Consider the following 20,716-nt stretch of genomic DNA (forward strand, 5'->3'; position numbering starts at 1 on the left):
CCTTGTTTCTTGGAGTGGTCTTCATAAAATAATACTGTAAAGTTTGGGTTCATTTTGTCTTCTCTGTGCTGTGCAAATTAACTTTGATTTTAGACATTTTTGTAGATGGAGGACTGGGGTGATTAGAATAAAAACCACAAAAGCACTTCAGTGTCAACTTCTTAATTGTACGTAATTTTCACAAGCAATGACTGCAGGTGAGCCCCACCTGTTTCTAGCTAGGTCTGCATGGTTCCTCCCTGAGCCTGAGATTGGCCATCTTCCCTCATGTCCAACCAAAGTGATTGCCTGTCCTTTGAAACATTTGCTCTTAGTTATTCTCACTGACATCTCCACCAACAGAATGGATAACCAGGGATGTCGATATTTCATGAGTTTATCAAAAAGCGTCACTCATTTAAATCGTTCATGTTTCATTTAAATTAAGATCCTCAGAGAGAGAGACCTAATACCTTAGTAAAGTTTTACCAATAGGCATATTAGAGAAAACTCATCCATAGCTCCTCCTGAAAGGCAGCCTGGTATGGCTTAGGAATCATTTGAGCATATATATACATACACACACACACACACACACACACACATATACGATTGAAGTAAAAAGAAGACAAACATATGTATGTATATATACACATATACATAGTGTATATATGCATATATACGTATAAGTATATATATGTATGTGTGTATATATATACACATACATACACACACACAGTTGATCGTTAAACAATGCAGGGACTAGGGGTGCTAAACTCCTGTGCACATGAAAATCTGCATATAACTTTTTTTTTTTTGAGACCAAGTCTTGCTCTGGCACCCAGGCTGGAGTGCAGTGGTGTGATCTTGGCTCACTGCAACCTCTGCCTCCTGGGTTCAAGGAATTCGCGGTTCTTGTGCCTCAGCCTCCTGAGTAGCTGGGATTTCAGGCTTGAGCCACCATGCCCGCCAAACTTCTGTACTTTTAGTAGAGACGGGGTTTCACCATGTTGGCCAGGCTGGTGTTGAACTCCTGACCTAAAGCGATTTTCCCACCTTGGCCTCCCAAAGTGCTGGGATTACAGGTGTGAGCCACTGCACTCGGCCTACATGTAACTTTTTTTTTTTTTTGAGATGGAGGCTCACTTTTGTTGCCCAGGCTGGAATGCAGTGGTGCCACCTCGGCTCACTGCAACCTCCGCCTCCCATGTTCAAGCGATTTTCCCGCCTCAGCCTCCCGTGTAGCTGGGATTACAGGTGCCTGCCACCACGCCCGGCTAATTTTTGTATTTTTAGTAGATACGGGGTTTCGCCATGTTTGCCAGGCTGGTCTCAAACTCCTGACCTCAGGTGATCCACCAGCCTTAGCCTCCCAAAGTGCTGGGATTACAGGCGTGAGCCACTGCACCTGGCACATGTAACTTTTGACTGCCCCAAAACTTAATGACTAATAGCCTCCTGTTGGCTGGAAGCCTTAACCAGTAACACAGATGGTCAATTAACACATATTTTGTATGTTATATGTATTCTATACTGTATTTGTATAATAAAGTAAGCTAGAGATAAGAAAATAGTATTGAGAAAATCATGAGGAAGAGAATATATGTTTAGTATTCATTAAATGGAGGTGGATGATCATAAAGGTCTTTATCGTTATCAACTTCATGATGAGTAGGCTGAGGAGGAAGAGGAGGGATTGGTTTTGTTGTCTCAGGGGTGGTGGAGGTGGAAGAAAATCCTCATATAAGAGGACTCTTGCAGGTCAAACCTGTGGTGGTTACGAGGAAACTCTGTATCTGTATACGATATCATTTCTATTCTTAAATAAGTATATTACCTTCAATGAATCACTTGACCTCCCCAAACTTTAGTTTTGTAATCATCATGCAAGAAGTGAATTAGTTGACTTATTTTTTTAGACTTCAAAGTCACCTCTATAAGTATCAAACCCAGAAATGCTTTCTAAAAAGCATCCAGCATGGGACAAAGATGTAGGCCAGAAGACTAAATCAGTCTAGTCTTTCCACGTTCTTCTGTCTGCTTTTATTCTGGCTGAGCTGGCAGCTGATTACATGGTGCCCACCCAGATTGAGGGTGGGTCTGCCTCTCCCAGTCCATTGACTCAAACGTTAATCTCCTTTGACAACACTCTCACAGACACACCCAGGAACAATACTTTGCATCCTTCAGTCCAATCAAGTTGACACTCAGTATTAACCATCACAGGGAAACATCCATTTCTTAGTCTTTTCTTGCTTCTAAAGGCTGCCTCCTCATAGTTCCTTCCTCTGTCTTCAAAGCCAGCAGCAAAGATTTGTTCTCTGACTTCTGCTTCCATCATCATATCTCATTCTCCACCTTCCTTTTGTAAGGACCCTTGTGATTACATTGGGCCACTAGATAATCCGGGATAACCTCTCCTTCTCATGATCCTTCACTCAATCACAACTGCAAAGTCCCTCTTCCCATGTAAGATTTATAGGATCCAGGAATTAGGATGTGAACACCTTTAGGGGGCCACCCTTCAGTGTATCACTCTAGAATATAGTTTTAGGCAAACACAGCAAGGTATGAGGTTGGTGCAAAAGTAATTGCGGTTTTGCCATTACTTTCAATGGAGAAAACCACAATTTTGCCATTACTTTCAATGGCGAAAATCGCAATTACTTTTACACTAGCATAATACATTACAGCATGAATAGAATGCTACCATTCGTGTAAAAAAGGCAGGGGGGAGGATAGATATCTAATATATGTTCTTATATGCATAAAATATCTCTGGAAAGAGACACAGGAACTCGGTAACAGTGATTTTGGTCAAGCCTGGTGGCTCATGCCTGTAATCCCAGCATTTTGGGAGACGAGGCAGGTGGATCTCCTGAGCCCAGGAGTTCAAGACCAGCCTGGGAAACATGGCAAAACCCTGTCTCTACCAAAAAAAAAAAAAAAAAAAAAAATTAGCCAGGAGTGATCGTGTGCATCTGTAATCCCAGCTACTCGGGAGGTTGAGGAATGAGACCCGCTTGAGCCCAGGAGGTGGAGGTTGCAGTGAGCTAAGATTGCGCCACTGCACTCCAGCCTGGGTGATAGAATGAGACCCCATCTCAAACAAAACAAAACAAAACACCAAAAACAGTGATTCTGAGGTGGACTGGGTTTATGAATGGGAAAAGAATTTATATGTTGGTTTTTACTTTTATGTCATTTATTTTTTATGTTTTTGAGACAGGGTCTGGTTCTGTCACACAGGCTGGAATGCAGTGGCACGATCATAGCTCATTGCAGCTTCCAACTTCCGGGCTCAAGTGATCCTTCTGCCTCAGCCTCCTGAGTAGCTGGGACTACAGGTGCATTCCACCACACCTGACAAATTTTTTAATTTTTTTTTTCCTGGAAACAGGGTCTTGCTATGTTGTTCCAGCTGGTCTCAAACTTCTGGCCTCAAGCCATCCTCCCTTCTCAGCTTTCCAGAGCACTCGGTTTACAGGTGTGACCTGCTGCTCCTGGCCTTTTTCCTTTTAAAATAGAATAAATATCTACCATAAAAAAAGCTAAGCCATGCTACCAGCTTCCTTCTTACCAAACCTTCACAAGAGTTTTGATTGGCAGACTCTTGCCTATGGTGTGAAAAAGAGAGAATGCAAATGACAAGAGAGAAACCAGGTTTAATGCTCATCCCCAGATTAGCTTTTCAGCACCAGGCCAGTTGAACATTGGCTTGCCCTTCACAGCCAGGCCTCTGTAGGAGATTCTGCTAACTTATCCCTGCTCCCTAGCTTAGGCTCTCAAAAAAAGCTCTTGGCAAAGACTCACCGGAAATCAAAGACAACTATCTCCTGAGCTCTGAGACAGTACTGCTTCTTGAAATTCTTTGAGGAGATATAGGCAAGAAATTTTCTGCTAGCATTCCATCTTAAACTCTGCTTCTCATAGAATAATATACCTTCAGGGCTTAAAAATCACTGGGTTAAAATTTGTCCTAAAGATGAGCAAACTGAGACCTAAAGAGATTGATATAGATGATTGTTACAGATTGATATGGATGATTGTTACAGATGCACAGATGATACAGAGACTTAGAGACTGATACAGATGATTAATACAGAAGTCACCTTTGGCAACAAATGCAATATATGTTTACTTATTATTAAATAATTATTTCTTTGTAGTTTGGTAATGATTGCTTTATTTATTGTTGCACGTTGACAATGTTTCAGGCCACATGCTGGGCTACAGGGAGGATAAGATGCTGCAGCCTGCTCCTAGGAAGTTTCCAGTTGAGCTGGCATTTGCAGACCAAGTGACACTTGCCATTGAGACGGGTGGATGCAGTGTCCTGGCTCGAGAGGCCAGACTCTTAAGTAAATAAATGACAAGACTCACGCAGTATGCAGTCTGTGAGCTGAAGCTTGACTAAAGAGTTCACGTTTGTGAGGAGCCTGGCATTCCAGGATAAAGGAAGAGGACAGCAGGAGAAATGAGAATGCCTGGCATATTTTGGGAGCCATGTATGGTTCCATAGCTGTGGAGGGTAAAGTTCCAGCAGGAAGGATGAGGACAGGAAGCTGAGAGGCAGGCGGTTCAGATCACAAAAGGTCTCATATATCTTCTTATATTTAGATTTTGTTTTTGTTCCCTACCCAAATCATAGGGGTGACAAACTTTCTAAAGAGGGCCAAATAGTAAACATTTTAAGCTTTGCAGGTGACCTACTTCTCTGTCACATACAGTTATTTACTTATTTATTTAGAGACAGGGTCTCTTCTGTGGCCCAGGCTGGAGTGCAGTAGTGGGATCACAGCTCACTGCAGCCTTGAACTCCTGGGCTCTAGTGATCCTCCTGCCTCAGCCTCCCAAATAGCTGGGACCACAGGTCCGTACCCCCTTGCCAGGCTAATTTTATTTATTCTTTTATAGAGATGAGGTCTTGCTATGTTGCTCAGGCTGGCCTTGAACTCCTGGTCTCAAGTGATCCTCCTGCTTTAGCCTCCCAAAGTGCTGAGATGATAGTTGTGAGTCACTGTGCCTGGTCACATATTTCTTTTTAAATTAAATTAAATTTTTTTTTTTTGAGACGGAGTCTCACTCTGTTGCCCAGGCTGGAGTGCAGTGGCGCCATCTCAGCTCACTGCAAGCTCCGCCTCCTGGGTTCACGCCATTCTCCTGCCTCAGCCTCCCGAGTAGCTGGGACTACAGGCGCCCGCCACCATGCCTGGCTAATTTTTTGTAATTAAATTTAATTTTTTACAACCCTTTATACATGTAAAAACCATTCTTAGTTCACAGCCAGATTTGGCCCATAGGTCATAGTTTGCTGACAGCCACAGGTGATGGGAAACCACTGGAGATTTTTAAGAGGGAAATAGACATGATTAGATTTGGGCTTTGGAAAGATCATTCTGGTGGCAGCTGTGCAGCAGAGAGACTGGGGGTGTAGGATGAGTCGAGGGGCTAGGCATATGTAGAAGAAGACCTCTAAGGAAGTTATTGCAACAGTCCAGGGAAAAATAATGAGGACCAGGACCAGGTGGTAGTGGCTGTGGCCTAACTTCTTGATAGCTGGGCTGAAGGGAGGTTGCAGCAAAGAATGAGAACGCCTTTGCACATATAATGGTGTTACCTCTCTCTCCTCCTCCTTCCCCCCAATCCCATGGGACATTCTTCTTGTCCATTTGGGGTGGGGCTGACAAGTGGTGGAAAGGCACCATTAGCTGAGGCCCCCTCTTTCCAGGCATGGCTCTACCCCATTGAGCCCCCCAAGATCTTGAAGCAGGACTCCCCTTTCCCATGGGCCCACTCTGCCCAGCTTCTCTGCAGCCAGCCCCCCGGGTAAGACCTGGCGTCCTGCCTCCTTCTCAGTCTGCATGCTAATATACGCTGACTCTCCCATCTTTGGGGACAAACAGTCTCATTTTCTCTCTCAAATAAGCATCTGCACAGAGCATTTGACTGCATCTGCCAGCCCCAGGTCTTAGCCCCAGCTAACTTTATTCTAATTGCCCAGAGTGAAAACTGCTATACTTTCCACCCCATTTCTTTTGTTCGCCACCAAGAACAGTCTCCTTTTTCAGGTGTAAAAGGCAGGCAAAGCAAAAGTGATTCTGGGTAGGGGTGAAGTCATTTCTTATCCTTAGCCCATGCTGATTACATCTTCCCTTCTTGTGGGAAAAGGGCTGCCTCCCAGCAATGTGTGTACATCCCTTTGAATGTTTCTTGTCACTTAGATTTCTTACGCTATTTACTGACCTGGCTCCGTGGGCCCATCTCCCTTGCCTTATCTGTGAGTCTCGTTTCTCTGTAAGAGTCTCTTTCATCTCCTCGGGGGTTATCTTTTCCCCACCAGGACATGAATACCTTTTTTTGTTTGTTTGTTTTTCTTGCAGTTCCCATGGTAGAATTCATGCCCTCTTAACTTTGGTTTCCTTCTCAAATACTTAATTGCAATTTCTTGAATTACTTCCTTCATAATGCGTTTCTCAGTCTAATAAACATGCATGCATTCAAATGCTCCAAATACATGACGGCAAACTCAGTTTTCTACTTTCCTCTTTTGCTATTTTGCTTGATCAAAATTTGTTGCTGAGTTTTGGGGATATAAGTGGTTTCTCTTCAGCTGTGCTTGGCAGAGGTGAAGGTCCCACATGATATTGTGTCTAGTTCTTGTTTAGACAACTCTGTTTTGGGGGCGTGATCACCCCCATTTGAATAATACTCAGCAGTGTTTTCCACAGAGAATACTTTCTGTTTTTCCCATAGCTGCTTTAGAGAGTAGCTCTGTTGCCTGGGTTTTTCTTTACGTTCTTTATTGTTTGCATACATTGTGTTATTCTTTGTATCATCAGCCTATTGTCTTATGAATCTATCCAAACATAAGAGTCAGATAATTATAGTTGGATCTTGAACTCTTCATCTGAGATGATGTGAATGTGGCAAGAGACCTCTTGGATTATCCACGTTGGTTCTAAATTAGACCATTTTGCTCTGTTGTCTTCATGGGTGGCAGCGATGATAGTGATGATGGCGGTCTGAACAATTTTTAGCTAATGTTTGTTTACCCGGTGTTTACCATATCCCAGCTATGGGGCTAAGTTCTTTATTTATATTACTCCATTTAGTCCTCATAAGAGCCCTCTGGATTACAGATGTTCATCATCTCATTTTACAAATGAGGAAACAGACAGAGACTTTAATGAACTTACCCAGGACTGGATGATAGCACCGGGCTTCGACTGTGCGTATCAGCTCGTGTGTCACTAACTGGAGTAATCGTACATACAGGTACATTTTATTTAGGCATCACCAAAGGATGTGTTGAAGCATGCGAATATGAGTTACAATACTTGGGTTTGTGTTGTTTTATGGTCTCACCCCTCAGTGCTCCCTAAAAGTATAGATGAGGAGTTTCACTGTTGCTGGGATTAGGCTTTCCTTAATGTATAGGAGACAACATCCCCTCCCCTCCCACCAACCACCAAATGGAGCCTTCGCACAACCAGAAGTCAGAGCCCAGAGCCCGCATCTCCTTTAGGAGGCACAGTGCCCAAGGCCCCAGGGGTTTTTAGGGACCTGCAATAATGTTTTAATTTCTTTCAAAATTAGAAGAAGAAAGCCAGGTGCAGTGCTCATACCTGTAAGCCTGATTAGACTCTCAAGCCATTTCCTCCCGTGTTTATCTATGGATTCCCTGCTTTCTCCATCGGACATTTACCCATCACGTTGGAGACACCAGCTTTTGCCCACTCTGCCACTGCCAACTCCTGGAACAGGGAGTGTAAGACGCAGCTCTGGGAGATCAGGTCAGAAGACCAGGACAAAGGTTTCTTTGAGCGTTGTAGCTTCACAGGTCTTTGAAATGCTACAGGGATTTTCCTGAGATTTATACTTAAAATCCAGTGTTTCTCAGGACAATATAAATTTTGAGCAGAACGGGGATTTTAGAGATGATCAAATCTAAAGTTCATTTCATAGATGTGGAAATAAAAATAAACACAGGGGGCTTGAATTACTTGTTCAAAGTCATACATTGAATGACTTCCAGAGCAAGACTTGAAACCTACATCCCTGACTCCTAATGGCATGCTTTTTACCTGAAGGCATTAATAAAATGAAGTCTAGATTGTCCCTCTTCTTTTCGTTCCTTGGATAATTCGTTTGTCTCCAAACTTTATTTCCGAACACGCCTTTGTGCCTGTGGATGTTCCAGACTTCAGATGACCTGTTCTCCTTGAGATGTCACATCTTTTATTGACCGTATTTAGTGGCATTTCTGATTTTATTAGTACACTGAAACACTAGAACCATCATCTTTCCTAACTGGAACTTTTAAAAATGAAAACAAGGATAATAATAGTCTGTGTTTGCAGTTCTGGTTTTGGACACTTTTAGATGTGTTTCCTGGGGAGTTTCTTTCTCCATTTATTGAGCTCTATGTAAGTTCTTTTATTTTATTTTTTAAATTTATTTGAATTTTGATATATAAACAAATACTTTGCTTTTAATAATTTCCACTTTTGTTTTAGGTTCAGGGGCACATGTACAGGCTTATTACCTGGGTAGACTGCGTGATGCTGAGGTTTGGTGTACAATTGATTCCGTCACTCAGGTACTGAGCACAATGCCCAATAGTTCACTTTGCCTCCCGTTCTTCCTCCTCCTGTAGGAGTCCTCAGTGCCTGTTGTTCCTATCCTTCTGTCCATGTGTACCCAGTGTTCAGGTCCCACTTATAAGAACATGTGTTATTTGGTTTCCTTTTCCTGCATTAGTTTGCTTAAGATAATGGCCTCCGGTCTTGGTGGCTCACGCCTGTAATCCCAGCACGTTGGGAGGCTAAGGCAGGCAGATTGCTTGAGCTCAGGAGTTTGAGACCAGTGTTGGTAACATGGGGAAATCCTCTATAAAAAAATACAAAAAATTTGCCGGGCATGGCGGTGTGTGCCTGTAGTCCCAGCTACTTGGGGGGCTGAGGTGGGAGGATCGCTTGAACCCAGGAGGTTGAGGCTGCAGTGAGCTGACACTGTGCCACTGCACTCCAGCCTGGGTGACAAAGTGAGACCCTGTCTCAATAATAATAATAATAATAATGGCCTCTAGCTGCAACCATGTTGCTGCAAAGGACAAGATTTCATTTCCTTTTATGGCTTTGTAGCATACCACGGTGTATATGTACCACATTTTCTTTATCCAGTCTACCATTGACAGGCACTGGGTTGATTCTATGTCTTTGCTATTATGAATAGTGCTGCAATACACATGCAAGCACAGGTGGCTTTTTGGCAGAACCATTTATTTTCTTTTGGCTATATACCTAGTAATGGGATTGATGGGTAGAATGGTAATTTGGCTCTTTCTTTTAAAAATAGAATGTGCTGGGTGCAATGTGGCACTTGAGCTGTTGTGGTCTTTACTGTGGTCTTTACTCTGAATGTCACACTGTCTCAAGGGTGTCGTGAGATGATTCAGCTTCAGGCTGTCAACTAGTAACTCCTTGGTACTGAAGCTTTGCCCAAACACCTGCCTACTTTCAGGGGCTGTCCCAGATCACAAGATTATATCAGCCTCATGCTGGTTAAATCTTCCGTTCTGAATTCAGCAAAATAGAAAGCAGAAGCATAAGGCCCTAGACTAGGGCAGTAATTTGGGTGGTGTCATAGACAGGGGACTGTTTTACTGACAGTCAAAGGTGATGTGTAGGGCTAGCTGATTTCTTAAAACCAAGCAGACTTGGCTTAAAGGTCTTTTTCTGGTCTGGCTGCTGTATCCTAAGGCATTGGATTGTGGAACTGATGGGAGACTTGGGTTTATTGAGGTTGGCTCCTGGGATGTGGAAGTGCATGAGAGATTAGCTAAAAGCCTAATGAATAGATTTCAGGTGATTTCCAGGAATACATATTCAATGTGCCACTTTTTGTTGAAAAATGAATAAATAGAGCATCTGGGAATGAATAAAGCACTGAGCAGAGTGTTTCCCCATTGGCAGAGAGTGAGGAGCCTATGTGTGCTTGGAGCCTCTGGGAGATGCGGGAACAAGGAGCGTTTTGTTGGGATTGAAGAACACTGGGATGCTTTCTGTGCATCACACAAGCCTCTGCACCATCACTCTGAATTCAGCACCGAGATCGTTTCATTTCCAGGGCTTTTTTTTTTTCTTTTCTAAACTCGACACAGCCCTTTGACTTGATTTTGGACCTCACTTTCATGGCCAAAGCATATATCCAGGAGGAATAGTTACCTTTTCTTTTCTTAAAACAGGGACAACAACAGTGTACTGGCTGAATCTTGTATTTATAAAGCGACATTTCCACATCTGCCTTGTGAATTTCTTTCTTAGTCAAGTGGTCATAAAAAAGAGGAAGATAAAAACAAATGAAAAGAAATGGGAGTAATTTAAGTCAAGAATAACTTCCTTTTTATTAGATTTAACTTGAAACCAAGTATCATATTTATATAAATACTGTGGAAAATATTTAACCTATTCATAAAGGTTAAGTAACTAACTGATAAGCTTTGTAGGAAAAGTATGTTTAAATGCTCCCATTAAACTATAACTGGGCCAGGCAATTTTTCAAGTTTTCAAATACATACCTTTAGGAAAATGAATAGAAATGTGAGGAACAGGAAGAATTTCTCGTGAACAAATACAATGGCTCATTGTACAAATTATTGCTACTTTATGTATCAGAGGGCACAGAGTGAGTCAAAAAGTCAAAATAACAGGACTTAGAAGAAAGTCTTAATGATACAATTCAGTCTTCAGTAAAGACTAAGACAAATTACTTCAGCAGCTGGCTGAAGAAATCCAAGGGCAAGATATTTTAGCTGGTGCTCTTTTCCTATAAATAATACACAAAATGATTAGAAGATTGAGGGGTTTGGAGAGGTACACAGAACCGTGAGACTGGAAAATGTTTATATGAATACAGGTTAGATGATGACACCTTTTTGTAGATTTCCTCTTTGAATAGAATGAAATTATCCTCCAAACCAGGAGAGTCTGAGAGTGAAAGGGGACAGGATTAATAACTATGCCAGGATAACAGGCACAACCCAGGACTGTTATGAGAAAATTGGAACATGTGTCCACCCTTTCTCTGAATCTATTTTTAGAGCTAACAATTTAAATATGTAGAGAATTACATAGGCCATTATCTTTGTTTTTGTGGGAGCTGAGAGATCCTACATCTTTAAGGACTTGTGCTAGTTCTGTTGCATTAGAGAGAAAAATGCTCACAAAATGATCAATTAAAAAAAAAGTACAACTAAAAATGGAATCCTAAAGTGGCCTCAGCTGCCTGGTGGGAGCGGGTGAAGGGAAGCCTAGAAGCAGGTCTGGGGAAAGAGCCTGCAGTGCTCCATGGGGAAGGAGAGACAAGGTCGGGTCACTCTGCTCATCACCGGAGGCTGGCATGCTGCCTTTCTAACAGGACCATCCAGCTCTCAGCGCTCACCGTCACCAGACAGCGGCTGCCGAGCAGATGGAGCCCGCACCTGTGCATACTCTCTGTCAAAAAGACTTCCCAGAAGCTGTTGTGTCAATAACAAGGTCTCAAAAAATATATGCCCCACAAAACCACCCACACTAAAGATCATTCTTGAGTCTGATTTGAAAACTAGGGTCCAGCTCTGCAGAGCCATTCAAGTGGCCAGATGCCACCCTCATAGCCAGATCCATAGGTCCCCTCCATCATGCCAGGGAAAATGCTCCACTCACCACACTCAGCTTCTGCTTCCGGTTTCAGTGTACTCTCTGTATTGGAGGGGTTTTAAAGCTAGAGGGGCCTTCACCCACTTACTGTCATTCACAGATCTGAATATGGAGATCTAGAGGGGAAAGCGATGTGCCCTAAGTCAGAGTAGAGTCAACAAGAAAACAAGACAAGCAATGACCATGTCCCTAGTGTATAAGGGTCTCTGGAGAGCTTCTGGGGTTACAGAGATGAAGAAAACATAGTCCTATAGTTCAATCTAGCAAGGTAGACAGTCTCTTTGTAGGCGGGACCAGGCTTCCCTGCAGCAGAAGGAAACTTGAAATCAGGGTAATGAGCCCCACCAGGGACGGGCCATCACGCTGCCCTGAGAGGATCATGCGTGGACACGGGGCTTTGACTGGCTTTGACCCTCTAGCTATGCTGTAAGGCCAGGTGGGACCTGCAGTGGCCTGAGCTGGGGGCTGCCGTGAACTCTTTCCCCTCTTCCAAGGCACTGTGTTAAGTAATGTCACTTTATATTTGCACAGCAAAATCAGGGACACAGTTTTCTAGAATTTGCGGTGCCTTTCCTCCCCCAGCATAATGGATGGTTTGCCCTGGTTGGCGAGCCCTTGTTTGTGTTAGAGGTGGAACACTCTGCAGGGTTCTGAGTGGTCAGTTGTGACCCACATACCAGTAGAGAAAAGAGGAAGAGCTGTGGAGCCCTCAAGAGCCATGAAGGACCTGCTGCTCACCACGAAATGCCTCCTCAACTGCTGCTGGCCCACCTGTGGGCAGCAGTAAGTAGTGATGTACAGAATCCTGGGACCAGTGCCAGTGACCCTAGGGATACTATGGGTGAGCTGGGCGTGCACCGCTGTGATGGCCTCTCTGGTCAGGAGACGACACGCAGTGAGAAGGAGGGAAGGGCTGGCCCAAAGGGCTTCAGTCTAAGGTGAGGCCCACAGAAAGGCCTGCGCCAAGATGCAGCCAGCAGCCCACACCAGTGGTAGCTACCTGTTATCCATGCTGGGGCCAGTCCTTGATTGCTCCAAACACTCTGCTTGAAGGTTCTAATGGAAATGAGCAGGTCTTCCGATCAGGACCTAACCTAGGCGAGCTTCTGAAAAAAGCATGAAAAAGCAGCCTCCTGAACTTCCCCAAGTGACTGATGTGAAGCACATCCTGCACGCTTCACAGCATGGAGATCTTCCAGTGCACACCACGGACGATGTGAATGACAGCATGGACCATCAGCAACCCACAGAGCTGCCCGACCAAGAAGTTGTAAATCAGACGCCACACACACACAAAAAAGACAAGATGGCCTCAAGTCCCCAATATTCGAACTGGAGTAGGCGAGTGGCTTCCCTGGTGGCTCACGCTCTGCTGAGCACCCTTCATCTGCACCAGGAAAGACGACATGGAAAATGAGGACTTGGCAGTGGAGGGGAACAGGGAAGCAGAACAGGGTGGTCCCCCAGCATCGTGGCCGCAAGTCCCTCTGAAAGCATGGATGACAATGGTAATTTAGGTGCTTCCTTCGAATGTCCCGAGGGAAAGACTGGTAAAGCAGACATACGATTGTGAGAAGAAACCCAAAGGAGTACAGAACTCACAGCACAAGCCCAAGGTCTGCTCAGCGAGCAGGTCTCTCTGCAGGGTTCAAGGGCACAGCTGGAGAGGGACATCCCGAAGCTGCAGCCAGTGGTTTCCGATCTGCCTGAACTGCCCTGAAAACACATGAAGCAGCCTCAGGGGGAGTCCATGGAGAAGGATGTCTACTGCTTGCACCTCAGAGACTTCGTAAAGTGCAGGAAAATGGGAACTGCTCGTCATACCAGCAAGCTTTAAGAAAAGATGTGTCCCCAGACTTGGCCCAGGAATTGAAGGATGACACAGTTTTCAGAGGGAGATCCTCTTCTATGAGAAAACAGCCCAGGACGGCTGGATGACAGCCACGTCCACTGAGATAGCAAGACCTCTGGAAAGAAGATGACCATAATAGGCAGAAGCCAGCTGATTGCGAGGCCAAGTTCCACCCTTTCCTGAGCGGCCCTTTGGCTCCTGGGGATCCACCTGCAGCCCACAGGGGCCTGGAAGTGCCGGGGGACCATGGTCCTGAACACCCAGAGACTTGGCAGAACATCAGCTGATGCTGCTCCCTTTAAAACACTTTTGACTGCTCTCTGGTTTGGCTACTGTTCGTTAGTTGATGCTGAAACTGTTCTTACTGAAGTTTGATTGATAGCCTTAGACGGTAAGGTACAAATAAAGATGGTGTAATATAAAAAAAAATTTTTTTAAGTGAAAGGAACCTTGTGGTGCAGGAAACCTGAAAAACAAAACAAACAAAAAAACTGAATCTTTAGCGGGTTCACCAAGAAGTGAAAATCACATACAAACCTATCGCCCAGAGGCAACCATGATTGCCTTTTGTTTTTTACCAATTTAAAAATTTCTATTCTTATTAGATGTATACAGTTTTATATTGATGTGATTCTACCATATGGGTTGCTTAATAGCCTGCTTTTGGTCACTTTAATTAATGTTAATTTGTTATTATTAATGCTGTGAATATCTTTGCATTCAATGAGTATGTTATTTTCAGAGGCTGTACAGTATTCCATCTAGTTCAAAAAGTCCTATAATTTATTTAACCGATCCCCAATTTATGGACATTTGTTTCCAGTGAAATATAAACAACACTCCATTAAAAGTGTAGAGCACTTTTTAGTATATTCATTTGGTTATTTCTGTAGAATTTATTCCTAGAAGTGAAATTGCTGAATTACAGAGCATACATATCTAAATACGTATATATGTTTTATATCGATTACAAATATATGTATTACTATTTTAATGTAAATGATTTTATATGTATTTAAAATGCCAATGTGAATGTATTACTATTTTAATGCAAATGATTTTATATGTATTTAAAATGCCAATGTGATTGTTAGTTTTATGGGTCAACTTAACTGGGTTAAAGGATACCCAGACAGCTGGTAAAAGATTATTTCTGGGTGTGTCCGCAGGGCGTTTCAGGAAGAGATTAGCATTTGAATCAGGAGACTGAGTGAGGAAGATTTGCCTTCCCCAGTGTAGATGGCCATCATCCAACCACTTTAGGGCCCTGATACAACAAAAAGGCCGAGGAAGGGCAAATTTGCTCTCTCTTCTGCAGCTGGAACATCCATCTTTTTCCCCCATCTTCAGACATCAGAACTCTAGATTTTCTGGCCTTCAGACTCCAGACTTGCTCCAGCACCCTCTGAGCCCCATTCTCCTCTCATTCCCAGGCCTTCTGCTTCAAATTGAGGCTGACAACATTGACTCTCCTGGTTCTCAGACCTCTGGATATGAGACCTCTGGCGCAACTCACCCCTGGCTTGCACCAAACATTCTTAAAATGTTTATTGGGGTCAGGTGCAATGGCTCGCACCTGCAATCCCAGCGCTTTGGGAGGCCAAGGCAGGAGGACTGCTTGAGGCCAGGAGTTCAAGACCAGCCTGTACAACAAGGTGAGACCCCATCTCTACAAAAAAAAAAATATGTATATATATATTCAATATATATATTCATTTATTTTTGAAACAGAGTCTTGCTCTGTCACCCAGGCTGGAGTGCAATGGCACGATCTTGGCTCACTGCAACCTCCACCTCCCGGGTTGAAACAATTCTCCTGCCTCGGCCTCCCAAGCAGATGGATTACAGGTGCCCACCACTATGCCCGGTTAATTTTTGTATTTTTAGTAGAGACAGGGTTTCACCATGTTGGCCAGGCTGGTCTCGAACTCCTGACCTCAGGTGATCTGCTCGCTTCAGCCTCCCAGAGTGCTGGGATTACAGATGTGAGCCATCATGCCCGGCCTGCAAAATATTTAAAAAATTAGTCTGGCGTGGTGGCATGCACCTGTAGTCCTACCTACCTGGGAGGCTGAGGCCAGAAGATCGCTTGAGCCTGGGAGGTCAAGTTTGCCCTGAGTTATGATCTTGCTGCTGCACTCCAGCCTGGGCAACAGAGTGAGACTCTGTCTCAAAAAAAAAAAAAAAAAAAGAAACAGTTTTTTGGCTGTTGGCAATTTTTATGTGAGTTGCTTGTACCTGTCCTATAGGAATTTGATATTTACTCTCTCTCAGAAAGAAAACCCTGCAAGACAGTCCTCTAAGTCTGTTGCTTCTCCTGCATTTTCCTATTAGCAGCACTATCTGTGTAGTTGCCCAGGATAAAGACCTCAGTTTTGGTTTTCACTGCTCTCAACTTCTACTTCCACTCCAAAACTCAGCCTGGTTCATTTCATTTCTGAGATGTTTCTCAAGTAGGTTCTCTTTTCCATGTCCTCAACCCCTGCTCTAGTTCAGGCCCTTCTCTTGTTTTAATTAAGAGGTTCATGGGGATGAAGACCCGAGGCCAGAGTTTGAGTCTCCCCAAGTCCCATAAAGGTACTTATTATTTCCCTTGCTGGACTCTTATTCATCTTTGAATCTGTAGTGCCTGATGCATGATCAAGTACACATAATAGGTCCTTGATAAACAAAGGATGAAATTGTTTTTCTCATCTCCTCTCTCTCTTCAATGAATCCTCTATGTTGTTATAATTATCTAACACACAAATATGATTATGTGATTTTCCTTTTAAGAACTGCTGTGGCTGGGCTTGATGGCTCACATCTGTAATTCCAGTACTTTGGGAGGCCAGGGCGGGAGGATTGCTTGAGCCCAGGAGTTCAAGACCAGCCTGGGCAACAGCACGAGACCCTGACTCCAGCTTAAAAAAAAAAAAAAAAAAAAGAAGAATTGTTGCTAGTGTCTCACTGCCTACAGCAGGGTTTCTCAATTTCAGTACTACTATTTGGCCCAGGTAATTCCTTGGTGGGGGAGGCCGTCCTGTGCATTACAGGATGTTCAGCAGCATCCTTTGCTTCAACCCATGGATGTCAGTAGCACTTCCCTCCCTCCTCCCCTTGGTGAAGACAACCAAATATGTCTCTAGACTTTGACAAATGTTCCCTGGAAGGCAAAATTGCCGCTGGTTGAGAACCACTGACCTACGAGAAAAAGTCAAAACTTAGTTATCATGTCATTCACGACCTGGTCCTAGGCCACCTTTCCCGTCTCATTTCTTGCCTCTCCTGTACCTTCGTGAACGTGCCATGTACCTTAGCGCTGTGTCTTTTCATGTCCTGTGCTCTCGGCACTTCCTTGATTAGGTGGACCAACTGCTACAACCCATAGACAAACGGGTGTTGGCTCAGACACAACTGGTTTGTTTTTGCTCACCTAACAGCGCTCTTTGGTTGAACGCGCTAATGAAACGGACCCCTTCCTACTCTTTCAGCAGTTAAGCGGGCCCGAGACTCTACCAACTTCAAAAACTGTTTCCAAGATGGCCCTGGGGATCATCTCCATTTTACCTAATGAAAGGAGAAAGGACATTGAGAAGAGCATGAAGAAGAATGTTATGGCCAGGATTGAAAAAGCTACACATCCCTTGCCGTCTCATTCTAATTGGTTAGAACTCAGTCATATGACCACACTTAACGGCAAAAACGGATGGAAAACGGTTTAACTGCGTGCTTAGAAGGAGAGCAGAGGTTTTCCTAATCAGCTAGCACTCTCTTCCACAACCTACTTATTAGTTCAGCAAAATTATGGTTATTCTTTCAAGCCCAGCTTACATGTCACTCCTAGGATTATAAATTCGAATGTCCCCATGATATACTATTTTACGTTCTTTGCTTTTTCTAGTGCATATTACGGTATGATTAGTTATGGCATAAAAATCATTTTTTCCTCATCAATTTCTGGGACAGTTCCTGGTAGGTGGTGGGTATATATTTGTGAGAAAAAACAATGAGTAGTATTTAATTATATATTTAATATCATCTCATGAAAATGCCTCAAGGACACACTGAATTTTATTGTCGTTGTTGTTGCTCTTCTAGACTCTGGTCTACGCACCTGCACTAATACAAAAGTGAGCCAGAATTATTTGCAATTTCTGGCAGGACTCTAGCATCATCTGAGGCCTAGGAGAAAAAGGATGAAGTTCCTTTTAGAGACCTGCTTTCCCAGTCTCCCCAAGCCTCAGGCATCTGCCCTACAGGCTATCCACAGATTTGTTTTCCACCGGCTTTCCACACCCTCCACTTCCCCTCCCAGCACAGTTCCCTGTGGGCTCAGTGACTTAATCCTCCCACAGAAGATCTGCATTTAAAAGGGAGTGGGCTGGGCGCGGTGGCTCATGCCTGTAATCCCAACACTTTGGGAGGCTGAGGTGGGTGGATACTGAGGTCAGGAGTTCGAGACCAGCCTGGCCAATACGGCGAAACCCCATTTCTACTAAACATACAAAAATTAGCCGGGCGTGGTGACGGGTACTTATAGTCCCAGCTACTCGGGAGGCTGAGGCAGAAGAATCGCTTGAACCCGGGAGGCGGAGGTTGCATCGAGCCAAGATCGCGCCACTGCGCTCCAGCCTGGGTGACAGAGTGCGACTCCGTATCAAAAAAAAAAAAAAAAAAAAAAAAAAAAAAAGGTAGATGAGTGAGGAATCACTGGCTAGTTAGTTATATTGGGAAAGACCTAGGGGTCCTGATTTTAAAAAGGGCTAAAATGTTGCAGTTGTTTTTTCAAAAATCTACATTTGCAGGGTCTGATGTGGTGACTCATGCGTATAATCTGAACACTTTGTGGGGCTGACGTGGGCGGATGGCTTGAGTCCAGTGGGCGGATGGCTTGAGTCCAGGAGATGAAGTTTGCAGTGAGCTGTGATGGTGTCACTGCACTCCAGCCTGGGTGACAGAGTGAGACCTTGTCTCAAAATAAAAATAAATAAATAAATAAATAAATAAATAAAACCCTACATTTGCACTTTAGCATTTCCCTAGGAAACAAAAGTAATAATTAGATAGAAAAAAAGTCTGCCATGTAAAAATTCTGTAAAATTTGTAAAAAAAAAAATGGGGCTGGGTGCCATGGATTATAGCTGTAATCCCAGCACTTTTGGAGGCTGAGATCGGAGGATCAGTTGAAGCCAGGAGTTCAAGACCTGCCTGAGCAATATAGTGTGACCTTCATCACTACAATAAAAAGAAAAAAAAAAAAAAATCAGTCAGGCATGGTGGGATATGTCTGTAGTCCCAGCTACTCAGGAGGTTGAGTTGAGAGGATCACTTGCCCCCAAGAGTTAGAGACTGCAGTGAGCTATGATTCAGCCACTGCACTCCAGCCTAGGGGACAGAGTGAGACCCTGTCTCTGGAAAAAAAAAAAAAAAAAGGCAGAGGGGAGAGGGGAATTTTGTACCTTAGAAATGAATAATCTTTGGAACTCTGGCTATATCTATCACTGCCAAGGTAAACAGGGATAAGGCCAGGATGTGACTTTGATGCCTGGTGTTCTTATTAACCAAAATGGAGTAAGAATGAAAGTACTTTTGCAGCAAATGTTCAGGGGATTTGAGCACCCATTTAAGGCTGTAACCAAGCCAGAATTTCCTTTTTGAGGCTGGGCAGAATCTGGTCCAAAAACCATGAACAACAGGAATGTTTCTGGTAATTTTTCTCAAATCCACCAGAGGGTTCCCACTGAATTTTCTGACAAACTTAGCCTATACACTGCATCTACAAGACAAGGGAGCATTTATGTAAAGTGTTTCCCCCCGACCTTAGTTACTTTGACAATTCCAACCCTCACTTTCTCCTCTGCTCAGATTGACATCTGAGAAGCAAGACCACAACCGCATACCATTTTATAGATCAGCCTGATTAAAACCAGTTCTCCCTATAGGTCACATCATGTACAAGACACACGGTTTTTGTCAAGAGACCAGCTACCAGCAGAGAAGGTTTTGATGCTATTGCTAGTAAGAAATTAGTAACTAGATCCCTGGTCTCCTTTACGCCAACTTTATAATTATACTGTTTGAGTGGTAAACCAGATCTTTGCGCCAAGGGTAATTTAGAAATTCTAGATCTGTATTCTCTCCCCCCTCCTCCTTTAATGTTCATCCTTGCTGCCTCTCCATCTTCTTCCTTCAAACATATAATTTTCCTCCACTCCCTCCTCACCCTGGCTCCTTGTTTCTGTGACCCTCTGTCACAAAAGGACAAATGCTTCTTGTTCTCCCTCATCCTGGGACATCATGGGTAACAATCAAGTAAGTGTATGCAAAAATCTAATTCAGGAGTGTGTCCTGGCTCTGCAAGGGCATCACCCATGTGGGCTCACCGCTTGCCTCTGGGACTGAAGGTTAACATATGGCCTTATAGTGAGCTTGGGCTGCCCATGTGTCTGCATCCAGGATTTAGCCTCTCTTTTCTAAGACTAGCTCCACACGGGAGACTACTTTCTAGAACTCTTGAACTCTTCTTGATTCTGTAAACTTTTCGTACTCAGAGCTCTTTTGATATAGAAACATTTGTTGGCCCAGGTGCAGTGGCTCATGCCTGTAATCATAGGGAGGTGGGAGGGTCACTTGAGTCCAGCCTGGGCAATATAGCAAGACCCCATCTCTACAAAAACATTTAAAAATTAGCGGGTGTGGTGGTATGCATCTGTAGTCCCAGCTACTTGGGAGGTTTAAGTGGGAGAATTGCTTGAGCCCAGGTGGTTGAGGCTGCAGTGAGCCATGATTGCACAACTGCACTCCAGCCTGGGCAACAGAGAGAGATCCTGTCTCTTAAAAAAAAAAAAAAAAAAAGATTTGTTATATATTAAAACTGGCTGGGTATGGTGGCTCATGCCTGTAATCCCAGCACTTTGGGAGGCCAAGGCAGGCAGATCACCTGACGTCAGGAGTTCGAGACAAGCCTGGCCAACCTGGTGAAACCCCGTCTCTACTAAAAATACAAAAATTAGCCGGGCATGGTGGTGCGCACCTGTAATCCCAGCTACTAGGGAAGCTGAGGCACGAGAATCTCTTGGACTCTGGAGGCAGAGGTTGCAGTGAGCCGAGATCGCGCCACTGCACTCCAGCCTGGGCAACAGAGTGAGACTCTGTCTCAAAAAAAATATAGATTAAAAACTAAAACCAGGGCTTTCCCGGT

The 20,716-nt window shown here is 43.9% G+C and overlaps 2 long non-coding RNA genes across 4 annotated transcripts in view; one reads left to right on the forward strand and one right to left on the reverse strand.

Annotated features, from left to right (window-relative positions):
• The window catches only part of LINC01517 (long intergenic non-protein coding RNA 1517), a 64,570-nt gene that overhangs the window by 35,296 nt on the left and 8,558 nt on the right, over positions 1-20,716 (forward strand). The gene's annotated exons all lie outside the window — the stretch shown is intronic.
• Positions 10,366-17,105, reverse strand: LINC00837 (long intergenic non-protein coding RNA 837). 3 transcript variants are annotated; one of them, NR_038374.1, is made up of 3 exons: positions 16,828-17,105; positions 15,597-15,698; positions 10,366-13,999 (listed from the first exon to the last, which is right to left on the reverse strand). It is a non-coding gene; the product is annotated as a long intergenic non-protein coding RNA 837 (long non-coding RNA). The 3 variants fall into 3 exon arrangements; NR_038376.1 differs by lacking the exon at positions 15,597-15,698 and having other exon boundaries at positions 16,949-17,105; NR_038375.1 differs by lacking the exon at positions 15,597-15,698.

This window comes from Homo sapiens, chromosome 10 (assembly GCF_000001405.40).
Source record: "Homo sapiens chromosome 10, GRCh38.p14 Primary Assembly".
In the NCBI taxonomy this organism is placed as follows: domain Eukaryota; kingdom Metazoa; phylum Chordata; class Mammalia; order Primates; family Hominidae; genus Homo; species Homo sapiens.